At 45.8% G+C, this 20,329-nt stretch overlaps 2 annotated features.

The window, feature by feature from the left end:
- Positions 1,002-1,131: an enhancer, noted in NCBI's record as "active region_3864". NCBI's record gives its function as "activates an Ori minimal core promoter by ATAC-STARR-seq in GM12878 lymphoblastoid cells {active_cell/tissue: GM12878}" and the evidence as "EXISTENCE:reporter gene assay evidence [ECO:0000049][PMID:35858748]".
- Positions 14,342-14,846: an enhancer, noted in NCBI's record as "NANOG hESC enhancer chr10:100113671-100114175 (GRCh37/hg19 assembly coordinates)". NCBI's record gives its function as "activates a minimal SCP1, AML or CMV promoter by ChIP-STARR-seq in naive H9 embryonic stem cells {active_cell/tissue: H9 hESC(naive)}" and the evidence as "EXISTENCE:reporter gene assay evidence [ECO:0000049][PMID:30033119]".

Raw genomic sequence — 20,329 nt, forward strand, 5'->3', positions numbered from 1 at the left:
CCTGTAATCCCTGCTACTTGGGAGGCTGAGGCAGGAGAACTGCTTGAACCAGGGAGGCAGAGGTTGCAGTAAGCTGAGATTGTGCCACTGCACTCCAGCCTGGGTAACAGAGTGAGACCCTCTCTCAAAAAAAAAAAAAAAAAAAAGGGAGTTGAGGTAGCACCTGATGGTAGGAATCACATTCCATAGAAGATCTGCTATGGGCTGCTCTGTGCACCTGAAAGACCTTGTAAGACATCTGTGGGCCAAGGTGAGTGTGGTACCCACAGTTTTAACAACCACATGTGAAAATAAGTCTGCTCCCTGGGTTTATTTCAGTATTTAAGCACACGTGACCAGAGGGCCACTGCGTGTTGTGTGCATCCGGAAATAAACAGGGTGGTACCATCACCTGCCTGCCCATGCAGTTCCAGAAAACCACACTCAAGAGGACACGGAAATCAATATTGAAAATGAGACACTCAAGTTACCACAAAGAGCTATTTTTGCTTATTCCAAATTGCTCTGTTTCTTTAAGCAGCTATTTGCAGTCAGCCTCTTCTCTGGCTATGTATAGGAATGGCTCAGGCAATCTAAAAAAGAAAGAGGAAAAAGAAAAGAAATCCGCAAATAGGTTCACACCCCAGGGATAAATCTGGGGCATTTGCAAACGTGGTACAAGTCAGTTATTTTCCCAAATACCCAGCCTCTCCAAATTCTACCCACGGGTTGGGAACCATCAAGAAATAAATACCCAGGTACATTAGCGGGTCACTTTCTAGTAAGTGCTCAGAATTTAAAAATAGAGATTTGAAAGGAAATGTCTCCTTTGCCTCTAGTAGGGGGCAGCTCTCTGCTCTGTCTTTTGCTCTGCTATTCTGAGACCACGTTCTGGTGGCAGGTGAGGGGAAGCTCAGGTCTATTTTTAAAACCTTCTGCTTCTCTGACTGTTGCCAGGGAGAACTTGGACAAAAGAGCAGTGCAGAGAAGGGAGGGAAGATCACCGTGAACACTGGTCCAGTGAGTCACTCAGCAATTGTGTGCTGGTTCTACCACCCCCAAAGACATCGGATCTCCCCCCTCAGCTCTATCTCCTTTGCTGCCACCTTGTCTGGGTCACTGTTATTTTTCACCTTGGCCAAGTGGACTTCCTGTTCTTACCCCTGGCTCTTCCAGTCTGTCCTCCACCCTGGAACCAGAGAGAGCTTTTTAAAAGTGCAAATTGGACTGAATCACAGCTCGCATTAATATAAATGCATAATAAAAAGTCTGGAAGCTGTTAATAGTGAGTGTCTCTGGGGCAGGGGCGAAGGGAGACTAGAATGTTTTTACTATGCCTGCTTCTGTGCGGTTTGAATTTTATACCAGCAGCTTGTATTTCTTTCATAATTTTAAAAGAATCTCAAACGTTTAATTTGGTCCCTGCACTCTAGGAGTTCTTAATCTTGCATTTGAGTCCCCAACACTAAAAAGTCTATGAATTATGCTTGTTCATTATGGCCTTAAGGAGCAGAAGCTGCCATCACCGAGTGGAAGTGATGAAAGTGAGTATTAAGAAAGAGTGTGCTGATAAGCAGAGCTGCCTGAAGGTGGGCTGGTGAGCCAGCACAGGCAGTGTGCCAGGGCCAGGGCAGATGTCCCAGCTGAGGCTGGTGCCCTTTGCTGCAAAGTGGTCACTTGCCCTTGGGGTCCCTGCAGTTCTGTGACTCCATGGGATGCCCTGGCAGATACTTTTTTTAGCCTGACAGCTTTCTTTCATTTCTACCTCTAGTTTCTTTTTTTTTTAATTGTTATTTTTATAGATTCGGGGACTACAAGTGTAGTTTCGTGATGTTGATATATTGAGTGGTGGTGGAGTCTGGGCTTGTAGTGTAACCATTACCTGAATAGTGTACACTGTACCTATTAGGTAATTTCTCATCCTTCATTCCCCTCCCACCATCCCACCCTTCTGAGTCCCCAGTGTCTTTCTACTAGGTCCATGTGTACACATTCCTTAGCCCACTTATAAGTGAGAACATGCAGCCATCTGCAATTTCTTTTTTTTAAGTGAGAACATGTAGCCACCTGCAATTTCTTTTCTTTTTTTTCTTTTTTTTTTTTTTGAGACAGAGTCTCACTCTGTCACCAGGCTGGAATGCAGTGGCATAATCTTGGCTCACTGTAACCTCTGCCTCCCAAGTTCAAGGGATTCTCTCGCCTCAGCCTCCTGAATAAGCTGGGATTACAGGTGCCCGCCACCACGCCCGACTAATTTTTGTATTTTTTAGTAGAGACGAGGTTTCACCATGTTGGCCAAGATGGTCTCCATCTCTTGACCTCGTGATATGCCCGCCTTGGCCTCCCAAGATACTGGGATTACAGGCGTGAGCCACCGCGCCTGGCCAGCCACCTGCAATTTCCATCAGACAAATACAGTCCTGCAAGTCATAACTTAATCTTGTAGTTTCCTGTGCCCTGAAGGTATGCACAGCAGTTCTTCTACAAGAAAAAAGAACACACAAGATCTATATGGAGTCAAATTGGATACTAGAGTTGGAAGGAGGAGACTCCAGGAACCTCCTTCCTGCCAGGGAGGAACCATCAGCACAAGCATTCCCAGCTAACCTTCCCCCTGCAGCTTCAACTATGGAAGCCACTTCACTTGTAAGTCAAGTCCCATGGGTGCCTGCCCGTGCCTGCCTCCCCCGCCTGCATTCTGGTCCCTCCACTCACTCCCTCGGGCGCAGTGACGCCTCTGGATGCAGCTCATTGTTTGGCTTCTGGAAGAGAAGTCATACACCTGTCCAAAGGGATGACATATCTTTCCAGCTGTCATTATTCTTATTGTGGAATAAATAGAGATATTAGTTTGATTGGACAAGCACTTTATGGAGTCTACCTTGTTCCCTGTAGTCTCTCAGACATTTACAAATCGGTTGAACCATGTTTTTATTTTCTCCACCACCTCAAGGCCATACCATTTCTCTTTTTAATATACAGACTATGCCTTGCACAGAGTAAGTGCCAATAAATATTTGTTGAATTGATTTTCCTGTTCAGAGATGTGGCAGAAAGACCCTCTTGTTTTGTGTGCATAATTCTTCTGTGTGGCGATTGTTGAAATCCTTTCTTATGGATACTGGTCATATCGGCCAGCACCAGGCCAAGTCTCAGGGTCTGAGCTGAATATTACCTGGGTCAACAACCAAAGGCGACCTAAAGCTGAGCACAGATTGTGGTGGGAGAAGGGAGACCATAGAGGGTAAAAGGAGAACAATTCCAGTCCCTCACAGACAGGGATGAATATATGCTGCAGGCAGGAGTCAAGGTAAGAGGCTGAGAGCCCATGAGATGAGGAGCGGGTGACGGAGTAGAGAGAAAAGAGGGATGATATGATGGGTTCAAGGTCAAGGTGGTGGCCAAGGGCGGCCAAGCCAGTCATCCTGGGTTTGCATCCTCGTTCATGCTAGATGCCACTTTGGACAACTCTCTTAACTCCATAGAACCACATCAGCTCCATCTCTATAAGACCAGGGGGCTCATAGTCACTGTGGGGATTTAACAAGGGAACTAGTATTTGTGAAAACACTGTAAACTGGGAAATGTAAATGCAAATAGAAGGCAAATTTGCAACATTTGGAAACATCTCCTATCCTTAAATAATTTTTTGTAAGTCTTCCTCTGCTTTCTCATTCCTCTTGAAGGTTTATTCCCAGGAACCTGGGGTCTTCAAGCTTGATGGGACCTTGGGGTTCACTTGGTTCATCCCTGTCATGTCACAGACAAGGAAATAGGCTCAGAGGGCTAATGAAAGTCATCCAGGGCTAATTAAAGAGCACATCAGGCTGGGCGTGGTGGCTCACACCTATAATCCCAGCACTTTGGGAGGCTGAGGTGGGAGGATCACCCAAAGTCAGGAGTTCGAGACCAGCCTGGCCAACATGGTGAAACCCTGTCTCTACTTAAAATATAAAAAGTAGCCAGGCATGGTGGTGCATGCCTGTAATCCCAGCTACTTGGGAGGCTGAGGTAGGAGAATTGTTTGAACATGGGGAGGCAGAGGATACAGTAAGCTGAGATCATACCACTGTACTCCAGCCTGGGTGACAGAGCAAGACTCCATCTCAAAAAAAAAAAAAAAAAAAAAGAAAAGGAAAGAAAAGAACACATCAAAGGCCATCCCCACCAATCACAGCTTCGCTGGCTTGGATCCCTAGTTTACATTTTTACTTTGCTTTTGACTCCCTGGTTTTCATTTTACTTCCACCCCACATGTCATTTTAAGGACAACTCATGCTGCTCACTATAGACCAATATGGTCTAACTATTGAGTGCATGGTGGGAATGCTCATTCAGTTGGCCCCAGGCCCTAATAATAATAATAATTACCACAGCTCAGAGCCTTGAATCTGCTACTGGGACCAGGCTACTTGGAAAAGATGACCTTCTGCAGGGTCCAGATCCAGCTGGTGAAGGTGGGAGGGAAGAAGATGAAAAGCCTCTGCTCCCCTCTGTCATGCCGCTTCATCTTACCTTCCCTTGCAAAGTTAAAGTCTGCTTCGAGTCTATTTGGTTCCTTGTAGAGAGCCTGCTTCCCACTATGCCTCTGTCTTACCTGGTGTCTTTGGCAGAGCCCCGAACCATCTCAGTGTCAAATCCCGGGGCTCCCCTATTTGGCCCTGGTCTAGGTAACTGAACAGTCCCTGCAAACACGAGGGATTGATGTATGTCCAATGCAGGTATGTCATGAAAAGGTTCCACAGCAGAGTGACTAAGGAACCAATTAGGAGATGAATAAAACATGTCCTATGTAGGTTATTCAAGAAAAGACTAATAATGAGAAATCCGAAGAAAGACGGGTGCATTCATTTTGGGATCGTCCCTTCTTGAGCAAGTAGAAGGAAGGCCTGAGAGTCAGTCCTTCAAGGGCACAGCAGCCAGGGGAGGTGCTGAGTGATGGAGGCAGAAACATTTTTTGCCCCTCATTTAGCTGACTTCCAAACACTGCCTCCTCCTCCTCCTCTGTGGTTGGGAGATTTCACATTTTGCTTGTCCCAAAGCCCCAGGACCCGCTGACCCAGCATGGTTGTTTCCTTCAGCTGTTGCTATGACCTGACCCCAAATCCTGGCTATTGACTGAGTGGCCACTTGACTTCGCCAGATGTCTCACTCTGCACTTCCTGATGTGGAAATCTACCCCCTATCCAGAGTAGGGCCTCTGGATGCTGGCCAGCCTCTTCCTGGCTCCCTGCATCAACGTCCTCCCTACAAAGGCTGAGATGCAAGATCTGTTTTCCAAACCACCAAAGTCATCACATAAATGTGTGAATGCATACATTTGCCAAAAAACCGGCAGATAATACTACTAATGACTAAACCAGAGCTGGCTTGGGAAATGAGGGTAAGTCATCAGCAAACTCGTCAATGAGTGGCAGTGAGGCGCTGTAGAGAGCAGCTGGTGTCAGAGGCTATGAGTTCCTGCACCCTCACTGGCTGCATTGCTACTAAAATAAGTCTCAGTTTCCTCATTTGCAAAGTGGGCTTAATAATCAGAATAATGCTTATCCTGTTTACTTTACAAGGTTCTTGCTAGGATCAGAGCCCTATGAACTTTTTTTTTTTAGAAAGCTATACTTGCATACAAGACTATTCGTTTCATAATTAGCAAAGTGCCTTGCTGAAAATAAGTGCTCACTAGGCATTAGAACTGTAGTCTGATTGTGAAAGAAAACATTATTATTTCATGGCATTTCCTACCTGACTTTCTTCTTTGTTTGCCCGTCTTCCCTGCCTCCCCCATTAGACTGTAAACCCTCTGAAATCAGGAACTCTGTCCATCTTGCTCAGAGCTATGTTCCTTGTGCCTTGAGGGGTACTGGAACAAAGAAAATGTCATTAAGTGGTTTTTGAGGGGATGAATGGTGGCCTTATGGCTCAGAAGGAAGCAATGTAGGGAACAGTTAAAATGAGCTTAATTCTGGGGAATGCAAGCTTTTTCTTTTTCTTTTCTTTCTTTCTTCTTTCTTTAAGACAGAGTTTCACTCTTGTCACCCAGGCTGGAGTGCAGTGGTGCAATCTTGGCTCACTGCAATCTCTGCCTCCCGGATTCAAGTGATTCTCCTACCTCAGCCTCCATGCCCAGCTAATTTTTGTATTTTTAGTAGAGATGGGGTTTCACCTTGTTGGCCAGGATGGTCTCAATCTCTTGACCTCGTGATCCACCTGCCTCGGCCTCCCAAAGTGCTGGGATTACAGGCGTGAGCCACTGCGCCCAGCCTGCAAGCTTTTTTAATGAGAATTTGCTGCTGGTGTAAAATGAAATATATCTTAGAAAGTAACCAGGTCCTCTTGGAGATCAAAATATGGAAGGAAACACCAAGTGTGAAGATCAGATAAGAGATCTGTGGATATTGCCAGGTGCAGTGGCTCACACCTGTAATCCCAACACTTTGGGAGGCTGAGGCGGGTGGATCACGAGGTCAGGAGTTTGAGATCAGCCTGATCAACATGGTGAAACCCCATCTCTACTAAAAATACAAAAATTAGCTGTGCACCTGTAACCCAGCCACTCAGGAGGCTGAGGCAGGAAAACTGCTTGAACCCAGGAGGCAGAGGTTGTAGTGAGCCAAGATTGCACTAGTGCATTCCAGCCTGGGTGACAGAGTGAGACTCCACCTCAAAACAAACAAACAAAAAGAGATCTGTGAATATTGAGTAGGACAAGATTTGTTCTGTCTTCTAAAAAGCTGACTCCATTTTTATTGCCCCAGAAAGTAGAACCAGGACCTACAGAGAGATGGCGTTTGTTTTGGTTAAAGACACTTGAGAATAGAATGGGCTGGCTCAGGAGGTGGTGAGTTTCTAGACAGAGGAGAAATTCAAGAAGAGGCTGGATGAATTTGTGGCACTAATGTTGTAGGTAAACTGAGGAACTATGTTATTAAATGAGATATAATAGGGCCTCCATGGCCACAATTTATTCTAATCTGCAGGGTTCCAGAGGCAAAGTCCAAAATAAGTTAATGAATTAACTAATTAATTAATTAAAGGGAAAGGGGGAGGAAAGGGAAGAGGGAAGGGAAAAGAGGAATGATCTGGGATCTCTGCCATTTCCCTTCCTTGAGAATTCTTTTCATCCTCAACTCACACCCCTTGATAAGGAACATCAGACACCACCCTCACCCATCTCAGAACAACTCATGACTTGCATCCTCCTTCTCCAGCCAGACTATACCTCTCACTGGTACACATGGCCTCGGCTCCCATCGCCCCGTCTTCAGCCAGGCATTCTCTCTTGGTGTAAGGAAGACCACTGTTTACTCCATGCTGAACTGACCCTGGAGGTTCTTTGTTCAGGACCTCCACATACCATGTGGAACAGGAACTGGCAGCCCCCTTTTACAGGCCGAATGTTTGTGTCCCTCAACACCCCCAAATTCACATTGTTGGAAATAAGAGCTCAGAGTTGCAAAGAAAATGAGCACTCAAATAAAGGATATCTCAGCAAGGCAAACTTACTTCTGCAGAAGGGTGCTGCTCGTTCTTCTGGTCACTGCAAGAGCACACCGAACAAAGGAGGGAAGGGGTTTTTATCCCTAATGCAGTCAGTCCCTACTACTGTGTCCGGTCTCCATTGGCTGGGGTCGCACCATACCATCTAAGCTGATCCCGACTGGCTACTTCAAAATTGAGCAGGGGTGGGGGCTACAGTGGAGGGAAGAGCAGTTTCTGAACTAAGGGTGCCAAATAAGGAACAGATGTGGGTTGTTACAGATTGGGAACAGATGTGGGTTACAGACTGGGAACGGATATGGGTTACAGATTGGGAATGGGTGTGGGTTACAGATTGGGAATGGGTGTGGGTTACAGATTGGGAATGGACGTGGGTTACAGATTGGGAATGGCTGGAAGGTTGTTTACCATAACTGGGGGCAAGGAGGCAAGGAAGTTAGGCTTTGAAAATAGAGGACAAGCTGAACCTTTGAAGAGGAACTCACTGTTTCCAACAATATGTTGAAGCCCTAAACTCAGTGTGGCTGTACTTTGAGATAGGGCCCTTAAGGAAGTAATTAAGGTTAAAAAAGGTCACAAGGGTGCAGGCCTGACTTGATAGGATTAGTGTCCTTACAAGAAGAGACACCAGGATGCGCTTCTGTTGTCTCTCTCCTCTCTCTGCCACAGAGAAAAGGCCATGTGAGGGCATGGCAAGAATGCGGCTGTCCACAAGACAGGGAGAGAGCCCTCCCTAGAAACCAAATGGACCGACACCTAAATCTTGGACTTCAAGCTCCCAGAACTGTGAGAAAATTAATTTCTGCCATTTAAGCTGCTTGGTCTGTGGTATTTTGTTATAACAGCCTGAGCTGACTAAGACACTCCCTTGGTAAAAAAAATTTCAAGGAGGAAGCATGATTTGGATGCTCATTCTGCCACTTACAAGCTGAGGGGCCTTGGGCAAGTTATTTTTCTCTCTGAGCCTCATTGTGGTCATTGGTAAAATGTGGATCATAACACCTATTGCAAAAGGCTATTATGAGGATCAAGTGAAAAATCTGCATGTGGGTATCTGGGGCACAGTAAAACACTTAGAAAAAGTTAGATTTAAAGGAAGATACCTGCATCTTGAAACTAGAACATTTTGAGAGACAGGACTAGCTGGATTTCCTAGGCCGACTAAGAATCCCTAAGCCTAGCTGGGAAGGTGACCACTTCCACCTTTAAACATGGGGCTTGCAACTTAGCTCACACCTGACCAATCAGATAGTAAGGGGAGCTCACTAAAATGCTAATTAGGCAAAAACAGGAGGTAAAGAAATAGCCAATCATCTGTTGCCTGGGAGCACAGCAGGAGGGACAATGATCAGGATATAAACCCAGGTATTCGAGCCAGCAATGGCAACCCCCTTTGGGTCCCCTCCCTTTGTATGGGAGCTCTGTTTTCACTCTATTTCACTCTATTAAATCTTGCAACTGCACTCTTCTGTGTTTGTTATGGCTTGAGCTGAGCTTTCGCTCACAGTCCACCACTGCTGTTTGCCACAGTCACAGACCCGCTGCTCACTTCAATCCCTCCAGATCCCGCAGGGTGTCCGCTGTGCTCCTGATCCAGCGAGGCACCCATTGCCACTCCCGATCGTGCTAAAGGCTTGCCATTTTTCCTGCATGGCTAAGGGCCTGGGTTCATCCTAATCGAGCTGAACACTAGTCACTGGGTTCTACAGTTCTCTTCCATGACCCACAGCTTCCAATAGAGCTATAACACTCACCGCATGGCCCAAGATTCCATTCCTTGGAATCCGTGAGGCCAAGACCCCCAGGTCAGAGAACACGAGGCTTGCCACCATCTTGGAAGCGGCTCACCACCATCTTGGGAGCTCTGTGAGCAAGGAACCCCAGTAACAATTTCTCGGTGTGATCACCTGATAAAACAACAGCAGCCTGCCCCCTTCGAGGCTGCCTCCTCTGGACAGTGGCCTTGAAGTCCCCATTTGCTTATCAGTTACCTTTTGGGTTGGCATAAGAGTGTTCGTCTCTCAGCAATACCAGCCTCTCCCGTGTCTCCAGGATTCACATCCCAGAGCTTCTTGTGCTTTTCTCCACGGAATTTTGGGATCACAGCTAAAAGAATCAACCAGTCTGTTGGAACATTTAAGTTTTCCTGCCCTCCTGGTATCTGCAGACGTAGGTAACAATTCCATGTGCAAAACTTTCAAGTAATGATGAATCCGCTGGGGCCATAACTCACACCCTGAGGCCACCCCGGAAGGATGGCTGGAGGTACCCCACTGAGGAGTCATCCCGCCCACTAGTACCACGAGTCACGCCCTCTCATTAGATCAAATCAGAGGCAGGGAGAGATTTACAGCTTATCTCAAAACATCTGGACCGGCAATGTCGATTCCAGACCAACAGCAGGAGAGGGTACTTGGGGACCACATTACAAGCCTTGCTTCTGAAGAGCAGCTGCCCTGAATGTTCACCTCGAACACTTCTCAGCACGCTGCCTCCTCAGAGTGTGCACATCTGGATTTGAAACTAAAAGCAAGAACTATGCATTTTTCTTGCTGTTGAAATATGGCTCCCTGGGGACCCAGCAGGTCGGGCCAACACAGACACTTCCTGCATCCTGACCTCAGACAAGCCCACATTCTCTAGGATAACTGAAGGGAACGCTTCCAAGTCTGCAAGCTGCCGTCAACTAAGATCTCAGGCATCCTCACTTCGTGCCGAGAGGAGGCTCTTAAACATCACTGCCTGGGCTGAGCTTAGGGGAGGAGGAAGTAGAAAATGTGATTAACATGTAACCATAAAATGTTGCAGCCATAAAAAAAGAGAGAAGTTATGCGTAAGTTATGGCTGCGTGAATGGCCACATCAAGCCATTTCCAAAAGCCCATCTCACTAAACAGCAGTTATCTTGCTCCTCAAGTGGAAACCGCTTTGAGACATTTCAAAATTAGTGATTTTCTGCCAGCAGCTACACTGACTGCACCAGAGATCCTGACCACAGTCCTTGCTAGAGTCTCAAACAGACTTGCATTTGACTTTTTCTATTTTTTATTTTTTTTGAGACAGAGTCTCACTCTGTCACCCAGGCTGGAGTGCAGTGGTGTGATCTCAGTTCACTGAATCCTCTGTCTCCTGGGTTCAAGCGATTCTCCTGCCTCAGCCTCCTGAGTAGCTGGGACTACAGGCACCTGTCACCATGCCCAGGTAATTTTTGTATTTTTAGTAGAGGCCGGGTTTCACCATGTTGGCCAGGCTGGTCTCAAACTTCTGACCTCAAATGACCCACCCACCTCGCCCTCCCAAAGTGCTGGGATTACAAGTGTGAGCCACTGCACCAGGCCAAACAGACTTGCATTTGACTTTCAAAAAATATGTTGCAGCTGGGCACGGTGGCTCACGCCTGTAATCCTAGCACTTTGGGAGGCCGAGGTGGGAGGATCACAAGGTAAAGAGACTGAGACCATCCTGGTCAACATGGTGAAACCCCGTCTCTACTAAAAATACAAAAATTAGCCAGGTGTGGCAGGCGTCTGTAATCCCAGCTTATTTGGGAGGCTGAGGCAGGAGAATCGCTTGAACCTGGGAGGCGGGAAGGGAGCCCCTTCCAGAGCACACCTGCTGAGTGCTTTGGTTCCCTTCCAACTCTCATGCTATATGGCTCTTACGCTCACCCATCTGCTGTTTCAGCCCCTGACTCACAACTCTGATTAATCCTGCCCTTTTTTGCTATCCTGGAGAAAACGTGCTTCTTGCTTGATCTTGTTCCTTACAAATTCATTCTCTTGTTTAGGGTCGATGCTCCTTAATGATGCTGTTGTTCCATTGTCTGCCACAAACCACTTTCCACTCTAAAGGTTTGTCAACATGAACCCGTTTGTTGATGAAATCAGACAAGACAGATGTGAGGATGATATTCTTCTCAAGGTGTCCAGTCCAGCTTGATACCCGACAGATCTAGACTAAAAGCATCCTCCTGACCCACGTGCAGAGACAGTACATGATGCTTGGCTGTGTAATGGAGACACCAAGACACCAGCTTGAGTCCTCTGCTCTTATTACCCATGAGAATGTGGGTGAGAAACATGACCACCTTGAGCCTCAGTCTTCTGATGTGTGAAATGAAGATAATTGGAGACCCTATTTTCTAGGGTGTTTTAGGAAGAAACAAAATCATGCTTAGCATGGTAGCTGGAATACCTTTAGGGTCCAATAAAAGGAATAGCTATACTCCTGGTAGTGATGAGATAGTTCTGTATCTTGAGTGCAGTGATGATTACACAAATGTACACATGTGAGGAAATGGCATAGAGCTACACACACACTGACCTGGTGTCAAATTCCTGGTTCAGATTTTGTGTGATAGTTATTCCCGTAACCACTGGGCAACTTCCTATCATTATTTCAAGATTAAAAAGAAAAGAAAAGAAAAAAAAAAAGACCAGGAAGGTAAAAAAGGAGATGGGGTGGGAATAGCTGTGGTGGGATTAGTACTGTTTGGAGACTTCATTTCCTTCCCTGCTCTGCTGTGTGACTGCCGAGCGCTGGCTGCAGACCCTGCTGCACTTTCACGGCTGCCCTGGTCTCCAGGTTCATTACTATCTCTCAGACTCACAGCATCAGCCTTCACCCTGGCTCTGCTGGAGACTGCCTCAGAGCTACAGTCCCCTGGTAACTCACTGGTGTATCACTGCCCCAGGCAGCTCCACCACCCCTGCCCCACCCCAGCAAGACCCCAGGCAGCTCCACCACCCCTGCCCCACCCCAGCAAGACCCCAGGCAGCTCCACCACCCCTGCCCCACCCCAGCAAGACCCCAGGCAGCTCCACCACCCCTGCCCCACCCCCAGTAAGACACATGCAGGCTATGCAGGGGGAATCTCGTGCTGAAGGGCGACCTCGCTACGTGAGCAGGGCTCTCCACAGTCCCACATGCCTGGCCCTGGAGGGAAGCCGAGGATAATGGGTTTTGCTGGTGGCCATAGGGTGTGGACTGTGGGGATGTGCCAAGCTTGTGAGCATGAGCTCAGGCGAAAGTCCTGTCTTGAAAGATGTGATGGCTCGAGCTACGGAATTCTGTTCCAGCAAGGATGAGAAAACATTCTGTGTCTGTCCAAACCAAGAAGGAAAGCAACAAGTATGGAGGGTTTTAAACTTTGACAAGTTCCAGAGGCTCAGTGATAAGAACCAGGGAGAGATTCCAGGGGGTAGAGGCAATCAAGGGAAATGTCTGAGCCCAGGAAGAAGAGGGGAGGTGAATGGCAGGACCCGGTTACCAAGGATGTTCGTGTCTGAGTTAGACCATGGAAGAGACCTCCGTGTGAACCTGATAGGTAGTATTTTAAAATGTTCATAAAGGAAAAGTAGATCCTATCTGTGGCAGATTGTAAAATGCAGGTGCTGTTGCAGTCTGCGGAGAAGACGCCTCAGGATTTTGATCAGGTTGGAGTATTGGGGGAGCGTCACTTACACCAGCTGCCAGAGGACCTCTGATCCGAGATGGGAACTTTGGTTGCAGATGAGCATATGGAGAGGCTCTAACTCCTTTCTTTCCTCGTTTGTCTTCCATAAAGAAGAGAAGACCTGAAGCCCAGGATCCTAGGAATAAGAAGAGCAGATACCATCTTTCCTTCGCAGGAATAACAAACAGGCAGCCCAAATCCTACCCTTCCAATTTTGGTGAGCATGTGGAGAAACAGACACACTTCCAGACATGATGGTGGGGGTGTGCATGGACAATGCTTTTGGGGAATTCAGTTTGGAAGATCCACACATGTCTACAACTGGGTCTTTGTGGAAGAGTGTGTCTTGCATATCTCAGGCTTTTGCTGGTAAAGATCAATGAAATGAAAGGAGTGGGCGCTTCTGAACTGCAGGCACCTGCTGCATGCTCCTTCCAATGCCTCTCACCAGTGGGAAACCTCAGGAGTCTGTCTCTGAATTTGTTTCCCTTGCTGTGAAATAGGGATGGCAAGAATAAAATCTCTTTCTGGGGTGGCTGGGAGGTTCACTTGGAACAGTGAACAGGCCTTGAACATTGAACCACACCTCTGGAATGCTACTGAATGTTGCTGTTGTGATATGTGAAGAGGCAGAAGTTTTGGTGTCTGGGAGCATTTTCCTGGGAGAGGGAAGGGGTAAGGAGGCGAGGGAGGTGGGTCATCTACAATCATCCCTTTACCCAGCTGGCTGGAATTGCTGTATAGGAATTAAAATCAACAAAGGAAGTCATTGTGAAAATACGCATAGACGTGAGCTCTGGACAGAACAGGTTCAGGAAACGGAGGAGATCCCCAGGAAGTCTTCCAAGCACAAAGAGGAGGAAATGGAAAGTATGAAAGTACGGATGCAGGAACCTGTGATTAAAGCAGAAATGAAAGAATGAATAAGGGAACTATAGTTCTGCAAACAAGAAAGGGAGGAGGAGGGAATAAGACCAGCTCTCTTTGCAAGTCCTTCCTTCATCAAGCCATAGGAAGGAGGGAGCGGATGGCACAGGAGCTCTGAAGAACAAAACACGGCAAGTCACAACCAAATCACTATTGAGATAATGAGGGTTAATAAGAGCAATTTCCAGATCTGTCAGCAAACGTGGGTGTGACTAAGACTGGTACACAATTTGGGGGTCCCTGTAAGATGCTACTGCTGGAAGGGGAAATGGGGATTTTAAAGCAGAAACATTGCCCAGGGACACAGAAGCCCTGGAAGGGGACTACTGCTTCCAGAATGGTTAAGTTCATTGAAGAATTTTCCACTAGCAATTGACTCATCATTCATAGAGGGAGAGACCTGGAGACAGAGCAAAGGCTGGCCACGCTGGCAGTGGTAGGTATGACCCTACACTCACCTGCTGGGGTCAGCTTCCCTGTCTGCATCCCTTACAGCTGGGAAATCCAGTTCCCCTGTCCATACCATCTTATATCTGCAAGGACTTTAATTGGACACCAGGGCTGGTGTTTGAACGGCATTACTGTTAGTGGAGGGAGCTGACGGAATGACTCAAGGCACAAGTATATCATCTGAAGAAGACTAGAGCCTCATTGCCTTAAAAGAATCAGCAACAAGTGAAAAGTGACAGTGGCTGACCACGTGTCCTTGGACAAGGTACTTATCTGCTCTGAGTGTACTTGCTGAGTCTGTTTCAACTATACAATGGAAATGACACGACCTCCTGCAGAGGATGATAAAGACCACCTTAGAGAGCAGGTGAAGTGGCCAGAGTTACACCCTAGTACTGCCCTCAAGAAACATTTTCCTTTCCCTTGCAGTGAGGGAAGCCAAGGTGCCTGGATGAGCAGATAGAATCTTTGTTTGCGGTTGTCCAGGCTGTCCCTACCATCATCATTTAGATGTCGATGCAAGCTCAAAGAAAGCATGTCTGAGCTTTATCCCTTTATTCCTCTCTCATCTTGTCAAGCCCAAGGATGCCTTTTAAAAAATAGGAAAGGCCACACCATTTAAAAGAAAGGCCAAGTGCCAGGCAAGAGCCCTGGTGAGTGCTGGGGTGCAGGGAGAGCTTTGCAGACCCTGGGACTCACCTTCAGGCCTTGCACCGACTCTGTCTGTTCCTGACAAGCCCTATGCACTCTCCTCTGGCTCCTGGTGGCTTCTTTCCTGGTTCCAGCCACTCCATTTGTCCTGGACTTCACCTTGGCCCATCTGTTCTGGTTGGGCTTCCCTTTCTGAATTCTTTTCCCTGTTTTTGCAGCCCAGAAGCCTGAGCTGCCTCCTGGATGTCCAAAGTCTTTCATCTTGCCTCGGGCTAGCAGACCGCACTAATTGACACTGAGGGGTGAATGAGACTTAATTAGGGAATGTTTCCAGCCCAGAAGTACAGAAGGGGTGAGGAAAGGAGAGGTCATGGGTGGAGTGCGGTGAGGGGATATGGGCAGCACCTGTCTTCAGTGTGATTTGCCCAAGAGCATCGCCTAACCCCACCCCAAACATTCTCCAGTGCTGTCAAGAGAGAGAATAAAAAACACCAAATGCAGGAGTCAAATGTCCCCCCACCTTTGGCAGCTTCTGCCTTTTAGGTGAGGTCAAGGATAGAGTCCCCACATGTGAGGCTGTGTCAGTCACCAACCAGAGATTCCACTTCCACCTCCACAACTTCCAGGGCACAGACTCCTCATCTGACAAATATGACCAAAGACCTAGCTATGGTGAGCTCAGCATTTTGTTCTCCTGCTCTGACATATCAGTAATATTGGTATTTGAGCTGTGAGATCCCATTAGCTCTCCTCAGACCCTGAGGCTTTAAATTTCCCATTGAATTCATTTTAACCCACATTAATTGGGTGTGTACAAAGCTCTGGGCTCAGCACAGTAAAGAAAATGGTGAATTGGCCCCACAGGGAGATCATGATGTAACAGAAGCAAACTGCGATCTCTGGCTTTCACTATAGGGTGGGATACATGGGGGCTAGAGGGCAAGAGGGCTGGAAGAATTTATTCCTGGGTTGGGGTCAGGGCAGTGGGTGTGTGGCTGGCTGGAAGGAAAGTGAGATTTGGCATGGGCCTTAGGAAAGCATCTTCAGACCGAGGGAACCTCATGAGTAGAGGCATGGAGGAGCAGGTGTGACAGAGCCTATGATAGGGAGTTGGGGAGAGCCTGGATAGGTCAGCCCAGGCCACAGAGGGAATTGGTTAACACATGAACCTAAAGGCCAGAAGTCTAAGAGACATCAGGGTCTGTAACTGCTCAAATTATATGCAATTATCTGAGTGCAAATGTATTTTTTAAGAGGAGAGTCTACATACTCCTTCAGGGTCACAATGAGATCCAGAGCCATCAATGCTGATATAGGCCATGGGGGACCTATTGGAATATTGTTTTTCATTTAAAAAGTTATTTATTATAAAGATTTTCAAACATACCAAAAGTAGAGGTAATAATATAATGAACTCAATGTCCCACCTTCAACAATGATCAATTTGTGGCTGGTCTTGTTTCACTTGCACCTTCACCTCTTCCCACAACCTCAGGCTTGATTTGATGCTAATCTTAAAGAAAATATTCAATATGTTTCTGGATTAAAATATAAGGATTTTTTTTAAAAAACACACAACCACAATACCATTAAGTCATCTAAAATGTTTAACAATATTTCCTTAATATCATCAAATATTCAGTCAGGTGTTCACATCTCCCTAAATGTCTATTGACTTTTTTTTTAAACAGTTTGTTAATTTGATTTAGGGTCCATATAGAGTTCATACCTTGCTTTCTTTAAGTCTCCTTCAACCCGTAGAGTCCCTTTCCATCTATTTTTTCTGTCATTTGTCCTGTAGAGTTTCCTGCAGTCTGGATTTTGTGAGCTGCATCTCATGATGTCATTTAACATGTGCTTCTATCTGTGTGCTTCCTATAAACTGGAAGTTTGAGCTACAGATGTCATTATATTCAGGTTTGATTTTTTTTTCAATACAACTTCAAGAGGTTCATAATGCCTGGTTGTCCCTCTTGTTTCCATCACAGTGACTTTTTTTTTTTTTTTTTTTGAAATGGAGTCTCACTCTGTCACCCAGGCTGGAGTGCAGTGGCGCGATCTCGGCTCACTGCAACCTCAGCCTCCTGGGTTCAAGTGATTCTCCTGCCTTAGCCTCCCGAGTAGCTGGGACTACAAGCACCTGCCACCACGCCCAGCTAATTTTTTGTATTTTTAGTACAGATGGGGTTTCACCATTTTAGCCAGGATGGTCTCAATCTCCTGACATTGTGATCTGCCCACTTTGGCCTCCCAAAATGCTGGGATTACAGGTGTGAGCCACCACAGTGATTTTAAGCTTGGGAGATGTATTAGTCCATTCTTACGCAGCTATGAAGAAGTACCCAAGACTGGGTAATTTATAAAGAAAAGAGGTTTAATTGACTCACAGTTCCACATGGCTGGGGAGGCCTCAGGCAACTTACAATCATGGGGGAAAGCACCTCTTCACTGGGCAGCAGGAGAGAGATAGGTGCAAGCAGGGAAAATGCCAGATGCTTATAAAACCATCAGATCTTGTGAGGCTCACTTACTATAATGAGAACAGCATGGGGGAAACCGCCCCCATGATTCAATTATCTCCCCTGGTCCTGCCCTTGACATGTGAGGATTATTACAATTCAAGGTGAGATTTGGGTGGGGACACAGAGCCAAATCATATCAGGAGAGAAGTGTAGGCATTTCAGAAAGGTCAGTCAATGGTGTGGGGGTCTGAGCAGAGGCAGGGACCAGAGGCAGGAAGACCAGCTGGGAAGCTGCTGCAGTGGTCTAAGCGAGCTGCCACCTTCCAGCCGCACGAATGAGCCTGTATAAATGAGGGGTGCCTGTGTGCTTGCATGTGTAGAAGGCCCCCTGGAGCTGCAGGCAGCACTCTGGCACTAGATGCTTGTTTCTGTGACCTGGGGAACTTGACAGCCACATGAGGACCATCAAGTGGCTAAATACAGCAAAATAAATGAGGCACTTTTACTAATGTATTTGCTTTTTCTCTATCTGCCTGAAGCTTTGCTAGGTGAATTAGGTTTCCAATGTGTTGCCCCTCCCTAGAACCATGAAATCCCCAGGGGATGGGAAGTGAATGGAAATGACTGGAGCACAAGGCGAACCCCTGGCCTGTGTGGTTTCTTCTGCATGTTGTAAAGGAGAAAAACGGCAGCTGTATTTTAATGGGAAATGCTTAAACAGTGAAAAAGCCCCAGATTGCAAAACCTTACCCTCCCCAAGAGGTACAAGAAATTTAATGTTTGAAAATGGTTTTACATTTCTTTGAGGACCAAAACTATTCCTCTTGTTTCTAATGCCCATGAGCTAGTCTCTGACTCTCCTTGAAATTTCAGAGGGGTGGGCAGTGCGGAGAAAGAGAGAGATGTATTATATTTCCTTTTGAAATGGGTACACATAAAAGTGTCCAGTAATGTAATTTTTGAATGTGTAACTAGGCTTATTTTCTGATAGTCTTGAGTCATAAAATTATACCTTAATTTTAGAAAGCATTCTGATTCTGAGATGTAATAAAATCATATTTAATGCTGTGAAACATTTTAAAGTGTGTTTTTAAAGGAAAATACTATTTTGGATAACCATTAAGTAGCTCAGCTATTCAAAATAAACTATAAAATGCAAATAAAAATGTGCTTGGGTTATATTTTGAAGTTTGGTACAATACCTTAGAAATCTGTTGAAGCTACAAGAATGGTAACTGAATCAAACAGATCCCACTGGACCTATCTGCCGTCACGGCATCACTGCCCAAATCCTGCAGCTTGATCTAGTGAATCTCATAGCTTGATGGCTCCGTGGTCTATATTTCTGAGTGTTTTGAGGAAGCTGCTTTTAAGAACAGCCAGCTTTGTGTGGCATGGAGAGGACGGAGAATCAGGCAAGGCTCAGCCCCAACCTACACATTTGGGAGACTGTTGGGCAGCAGTCGATGAGGGAAAGGTAGATTCTAAAGTCTGATGAACCAACTTAAGGTTTTATAACGTGACTACCACTTCCTGGCTGAGTGACGTTGGATATGTCATTTAACCTCTTCTGTGGTTTCTTTATCAATAAATGGAAGATTAAAAACTCCTTGTTTTAGGCCAGGCGCAGTGGCTCACGCCTGTAATCCCAGCACTTTGGGAGGCCGAGGCTGGTGGATTACAAGGTCAGGAGATCGAGACCATCCTGGCTAACATGGTGAAACCCCATCTCTACTAAAAATACAAAAAATAGCCGGGTGTGGTGGCGGGAGCCTGTAGTCCCAGCTACTCGGGAGGCTGAGGCAGGAGAATGGCGTGAACCCAGGAGGCAGAGCTTGCAGGAAACCAAGATAGTGCCACTGCACTCCAGTCTGGGAGACAGAGTGGGACTCCGTCTCAAAAAAAAAAAAAAAAAAAAAAAAAAAAAAAAAAAACCCTCCTTGTTTTAATATCCAATAAGTGGGGCGTAAAAAGAACATATAGAAAAATTGGCTGTGTGTTAGGAACTAAGCTGTTGCTCAAGAAATGATAGATCTTGTTATTATCAGGACACATAAGAAAGTAAATCAATAATAGAGGAATAAATTAGCTAGCCTTTAAAACTGAGGGAATATTTTAATCTCATTTTGTTATTCAGTAAAGCTAATATCATCAATTTTCCCTGATTAATGAATACTGAAAATCTGTGGTATGGTAACCAGCTTCAAAGATGGTGCCCAATTATCCTCTTGGTCTTCATGACTAGAAAGAGACATGTGGTTCTCATCCTTCTTGTAACAGACTTGGCCTATGTGGCCAATGGAATATGGCAGAAATAATGATAAATGTCTTCTGAGATTAGGTTATAAAATACATTGTGTTCCCATGGAAAAGAATAAAGTTGGATCCTTATCTCCACCATATACAAGAATTAACTCAAAGTGTATCAAAGACCCATTTTAAGAGCTAAAACTGTAAACTCTTAGAAGACAACAGAGAAAATCTTCATGATTCTGGATTAGTCAATAGTTTCTTAGATATGACACCAAGAGTACAGAGAACAAAAGAAAAGCAAACTATACATCACCAAAATTAACTTTTGTGCTTCAAGGCAAAAGTCTTGGTCAAGAAAGTGAAAAGAAAACCTAAATAATGGGAGAAAAATTTAGCAAATCATATCTAATAAGGATCTCATATCTAGAGTATATAAAGATCTCTAACAGCTCAATAATAAAAAGCCAATAACTAAAAAACAAGCAGAGGATCTGAATAGACAATATACACATGGCCAACACACAAAAAGTTGTTTAACATTATTGACCATCAGTGAAATGCAAATCAAAACCTGGCAGACACCACTTCATACCCATGCAGATGGCTATAATAGAAAAGGTAGATAATAACAAGTGTTGACAAGCATGTAGAAAAACTGG

This window comes from Homo sapiens, chromosome 10 (assembly GCF_000001405.40).
Source record: "Homo sapiens chromosome 10, GRCh38.p14 Primary Assembly".
NCBI classification, from domain to species: Eukaryota; Metazoa; Chordata; class Mammalia; order Primates; family Hominidae; genus Homo; species Homo sapiens.